The 6000-nt window shown below is 47.1% G+C and overlaps 1 long non-coding RNA gene across 1 annotated transcript in view; it reads left to right on the top strand.

Moving 5' to 3' along the window:
• Positions 1 to 2079: 2079 nt before the first annotated feature.
• Positions 2080 to 6000, top strand: part of LOC105373224 (uncharacterized) — a 38407-nt gene continuing 34486 nt past the window's right edge. Inside the window, exon 1 of the long non-coding RNA XR_949315.4 lies at positions 2080 to 2621. This is a non-coding gene — a long non-coding RNA (uncharacterized LOC105373224). The remainder of the gene's footprint in view (positions 2622 to 6000) is intronic.

The following is a 6000-nucleotide window of genomic DNA, read 5'->3' as shown; positions in this document are numbered from 1 at the left end:
GCGGGGGGGCGGCTCGCGGCAGCTTCCAGGCTAGCGCACGCGCAGTTAGCGTTCCTGGATCCTGGCCCCTGCACGACCCTGGCCCATGGTTGAAGCAGGTCCCTAGAGAGCTCTCATTTAAAAAGCTGCTGCATTCGTCCTGCTCAGGTGTTAAAAAGGGAGATTTTTCTGACGGAGAGGTTTCTGTGAAGAGGCCACGGCACTAAGGTTTATCAGATTTGTATGTATAACTGACCAAAAGGAAAATTGAAGCTCAGATACCATCACAGTTCAGCCCAACTGGCGATGGACAAAGGCCCTCTGAAGTCTGCTGGTGCGTGGACTGAGAAGAAGAGCAGACTTCCTGCCTTCAATTAATTGGCAAATAATAGCACATTCTGGGTTGCTTCCTTTCTCTGGAACTTAGTCCTGTCTGCATGAGAGAGAAAAGGGTGGATGCTCTGTACGATTCTAAAGATCTGGGGCTTTCACTTGGCCCATGTCCATGTCTACTTCTAATTGTCCCCATGCCTCAGTTTCTCTTAGGTAAACTACCCCCCGGCTCAAACCCATGTACCTAAGTGAGGCTGACACACTTCCTGGCTACAGGAGACAGAGTCTACGTGAGATCAGATATTGGAGGAACCACTGGTGACTTTCCCATGTGCTGTGCAGGGGAGCTTCAGGGATGCACTGTCTGCAGCCCACACTGGCCCAGTGGGCGTGCCCACCATGAACATGAGGCCCAGTGGCCCTGCGCTTGGTCCACCTGTGTCCTTCCCAGGAAAAGAGTCTGTGTGGGCCCTGAAGCCCCTCTCTGCCTCACCCTGTCAGGGTGAAGGGAATAACACTGTCCATGCTAAGCTCCTATCTACACAGTTCCAGTCCACCCGCCATTGGACATTTGGGAACCTGAGTCCCAGAGACAAGCAGAGACTGGTGAGGGTATAGGACGTGGGCATGTCCAGAAAATAATGGATTCCCACCTCCTAGGCCAGGGCTCAACCATCTCACATGGGGTTCCCTAAGAGACTGGGGACCCCTCCCTAGCCTTCCTATGTGGGCCCTGTACCTCTTAGCAACCCCATGGGTATGCACCCACATGCTTGATGATCACAGCGCTGAAGTAAGAGGAAAAGTGGACCCTGGGGAGGTAACAAGGGAAAAGTAAGAAAAGGCTGGAGGCATCTCTGCACTCTTCTAGCACCATGACCAGGACCATGGCCTGGGAAGGAAAGAGATGCCAGGATGCTGGCCTGGGGGAGCTGTAAGGTACCCGGGGGTCTGCCTGGTCTGAGACCATCTCACAGCAGTCAGAAGCAGATGGTACTTGGGGTTCTATGTCCACCATACTGGGCACCTTCAACTGAGACAAGACCTCCTAGGGTGAGGAGGGCTACAGGCAAGAGGGCCTCAGTTTACCTCCTTACATATTGTGATGCTATGGGTTGGTCACCCCAAGGTGACACTTTAGAAAGTGTCTATGGCTCCAGGTTCCCTGTAGATGACTTACTGAACTCCGTGGTCCTTGGAAAATGCTTTCTACTTCCTCAGAGTCTTTTGCAGCAGAGTGAATCAGAGAGAGACTGGAGGACTGAGATGTGGGGTAAGGAAGAACATGGCAGAGCACTGAACTACTCATCTTGAATAAGGCAAAGACCATCTGTTAGAGCCTTCAGTCCTCACTGGAAATGAACCCATAGTCACTGCCCTGGCTGTGGTGAAGTGGCCTCATGAGTGAACTGGACCCCAGAGCTATTGCTGGCAATAGGGGGACAAGGAAAGTTTGCGGGGTCCCTCTCAATGCCCTGGATCCTACAGCTCCTGCTCCTTTGTTCCCTGAAACCAGGGAGAGCTGATGCCTTGAAGTCATTCAAACAAAGGTGTGTTGGTTGGTGATTTTTTTCCCTTGGGTGCAGTGCTAGCACCCACCACCAGGGAGGCTGGGTCCACTGTGCTTTGCTGGAGCAACTGGCGACAGGGAGGAGCCACCCAGGGGTCAGTTGGAGCACCCAGGGCCCACTGAAGCAGAGCCGGTGTGTGAGGAGGCCTGGGGGTGGGTTCATGTGAGCCCGTGGGGAGGGGACAGGGCTGGACTGCACAGAGCAGAGCTGCCAGAAGCTGAGGAGCGGACGCAGCAATGAGAAACTCAGCCCAATCATGTGGCCGACTGCAGTCTGGAAGACTTCCTGGGTGTGGAGTTTCTCTGAGTTTCTCAGAAAGGCAGAGGGAAGATTTTTGTCAGTAGAAGGCACATGGAAAGTCAGTCATGTTAGTGATCTTTCCTCCTCTGGCAGCTCCAGAGCCAGCTCCAGTTCAAGCTCAAAAGCCACCTTCAGAGTGTGTGTCAGGGCTAGGTCCACCACCAGCTCCAGCTGCAGCCTTAACCAGCCGCTCTAGGGAAATCTGCAGAGCTGGAAGCAAGAGCAGCAACCACCGTAGCACCAGCTCCCGAGCTCCTTTGCAAGCTCCATCAACAGCTCCAGCTCCAGGGCTAAGGCAGTCCCAGCAAGAGCACCAGATCCAGCCATGCAGCCACTGCAGGCTCTGGCCCCAACTCCAGCTCCAGAGCCCAAGCCAGTTCCAGCTCCAGGTCTTGAGACAACAACAGAACCTGCTGCTGTTTTGTTATAACCATCCTGGTGAGTGTGGAGTGGTATCTCATTGCTGGTTTGATGTTCATTTCCCTGATATCTAAGGTTGCTCATCATCTTTCATGTGCTTATTCACCGATTGAATATTTTCTCTGGAGAAATGTCTATGCAAGTCCTTTGCCCGTTAGTAGTTGGATTGGTTGCGTTTCTGTCCTTGAACTGTAAAAGTTCATTATATTTTCTGGGTACAAAATCTTTATCAGATTTTTCACTTACCAATATTTCCTGACAGTCTTGAGTTGTCTTTATACTCCCTTAAGAGTGTGTTTTGATGCTCAAAAGTTTTTAATTTTGTTGACATACAATTCATCTGTTTTATTTTTTTTTACTGCTAGCGTTTTCAGTGACATGTTTAAGAAGCTCTTGCCAAATTCAAGGTCATAAAGATTTGCTCCTATATTTCCTTCTAAGACTTTGAGTTTTACTTATTAATTTAGTTGTTTCATTTGTTTGCAGTTAAACTTTTACATCTTGATGGATTAAAGTCCAACTTGACTCATTCTTTCTTGCATAATTTTACATATCTGAATGTGTAAAAAGATATACTTTCCAGTTAGTGGATAACCTTCTATTTGTTTCCTGTAGGAAATTTTTATTATTTTTCAAATTATATGAAAGAATAATAGCAAATAAATATTTATTTAGACATTCTGTAAGATGATAAAACGTGTTTTCAATGCTAGCTTGTGGAAATGTTGAGGTGGGGCACTCATTGTCCTAAGCAGTCCTGCACTGCCCTCTGGTGGCCTTTCATTTATGTCTTATCATTGACTTCCAAGGACCTTCTGCCTTTCACAAGGCAGATATTGACATTTTTGCATTTGACTTTGTTTCACTTAGATAACATATTAAATTTGGAGTTTAAAAATGTTTTATATTCTTTAGAAATAAAAATAAAAGTAGAAATGGCTTCAATAAATTAAACTCTAGCTTCGTAATACACTGTTACATATAATCGTATGTAACATGTATTCATACACATGAGCGGTGTGAATCATAATACACCGTTACATATAATTATTCTAGCCTTCCAGAATTCCTCATTATGACTCCATAATACGTTTTGCAATATGAATGGTTTATTTATATTTTATGTTGATCAGTATAAAGTGCTCAAATTCCCAGGTGTGTTAGTATTTAAATTTCTTTAAGGGTTTTTGAAGTATAATCAATTTCACAAAGAACCAATCAATTTAAAATGTACAATTCCATGAGTCTTGAAATATATTCCACAAAACCATCACTGCCATTAAAGAAGTGTACATGTATCCATTACCTCTAAAAGATTGTTCTGATTTCTGTTTAAAAATCCATTGTTAGCTTGATGTACAGATAACTTCCGTTTGTCCCCTCAGATTCACTCTTCACTTAGGGTGGAGGTCATCTGTGCAATGAAGGAACTGCTTGATCTTGCTTCACTGTACAGTTGGGAACCCGTAAGAAAAGACAGATCTAAAGATAGATGTTAAAATAGCCAGGATAGAGTGTTGCCAGGACTGCCCTGGAGGAGACGACTATACGCTGAAAGCTTATGGGACCTTGCAGGTCCATGCTGGCAAAAGCCTGGGCAGCAGGAGTGGGAGTCGGTCCAAGGCGGTGGACCAAGGAGCAAAATAAAGGTCTTGATTGGACTGAATTCATTGACATGAGAGTGCTCTCTATGGATTTGGGTTCCAAGTGTTGGGTTGACCACCTGCTAGTGGTGTTGATATTCTGGCCTTATCATGGCCTCCAGATAATGAGGTCAGAATGCTAAAATGTCCTTGCCACACTGCCGAGGGAGGGAGGAAGGAGTTGGAATGCATAAGGACAGGCATGGTGGGATGGAGCTATGATGTGCAGTCTGCTCAGCCATCCCTAATCTTGCCTGCTGGGAGAAGCAGAGCTCACACTTTTCATCACAGCATTGGCAAGGGAGGCGCCAGCGTCTTTGAAGAGCCCTGTGCATGGCTGTCCTTTACACAGTATGCCACACAGTATGCCACGGGGGCAGGATGGGAATTAGAGAGTGTGACCCACAAGGATACGTGGTGTGGGGTAATTGATCAGGTGTCCTTACAAATGAAACTGATGGATGGCCTACCAAGAAAACAATTCTAGATATGATTGTTGCTACAGTGAGGATTCACTGTCTCTAAACTAGTTATGAAACATAAGCCAGCAATGGCCCGACTCTGAGCTCCTATGCTGAGGAAGAGATTGGAGCCCTTCAAGGAATGGCCCTGCAATGGAGTCTCAGATATGTGCCATGTATCTTTTCCATCAGCTTCCCCAAATGGCCCCAAAGTCAAAGGCAATTACTGCTGTGACCACACTCTGGAAGAAGGGAAACATCTACATGCGTTTTCTGGAGAATTTTGTCTATATGTTCTGAGCATATTTTGAATCCCCAACATCAGAAATGCTGTGTGGCCCATCAGTTGAAGCAGGGGCTTTGGAGGTCTGGGGACAGGAGCTGCCTTGGCCGCAGGTTAAGCTTGTCCAGTGGAACCATGGCCTCCTCCTGTGGTTACTCTCCAGTTCCAGAATGGATAATGGGAATAGGTAGATTTAGCAACTGGTAGAATCTCCACATTTTTTTTTCTGATCCCAAAAATTTTGCTTATTAAGAAAGGAAGGCCCAAGTAGAGGTCCCTAGAACTACACCTTCCTGAGAGGAAACTGAACGCAGCACATCATCCATGGAGGAGACCGAGGGGTGAGCAGTGTCATCAACCCCTTGAGAAATGCAAGTTGGTAATGCCCACTGTTCCTTATTTTCCTTGCCTCTCTGGCTACTGGAAAAGCCAAGTGGTGACTGGGCATGGTGCCTCATGCCTGTAATCACGGCACTTTGGGAGGCTGAGGCAGGCGGATCTCGAGGTCAAGAGTTCAAGAACACCCTGGCCAACATGGTGAAACCCCATCTCTACTAAAAATACAAAAATTAGCCAGGCATGGTGGCGGGCACCTGTAATCCCAGCTACTCGGGAGGTTGAGGCAGGAGAATCGCTTGAATCTGGGAGGCAGAGGTTGCAGTGAGCCGAGGTCGCGCCACTGCACTCCAGCCTGGGCAAGAAAGCAAGACTCCATCTCGGAAAAAAAAAAGCCAAGTGGGTCATGGAGATGGACAGTGAATTTCCACAGACGTAATCAGATGGAGACGGGAACGGGAGCTGTGACTGTTTGTAGGATACCTCGACAGGAGCGATACTTCAGTTACAGTGTCTCGCAGAGGAGCAGGCCCGGGCAGGCTGCTGTTGGGGGAGGGACTGAGAATGGCATGAGACTCCCTGCCTGTTTAAAGGGCAAATTCCTTTAAAGGAAAACAAAAACCAAAAAAGACTATACTACATCAATGGCTAGTGTTTTTTTAAATATGTATATA

Source organism: Homo sapiens, chromosome 1 (genome assembly GCF_000001405.40).
Source record: "Homo sapiens chromosome 1, GRCh38.p14 Primary Assembly".
NCBI lineage: Eukaryota > Metazoa > Chordata > Mammalia > Primates > Hominidae > Homo > Homo sapiens.
Note: the sequence above shows the minus strand (reverse complement) of the source record. Positions and strands in the feature narration are given on the sequence as shown.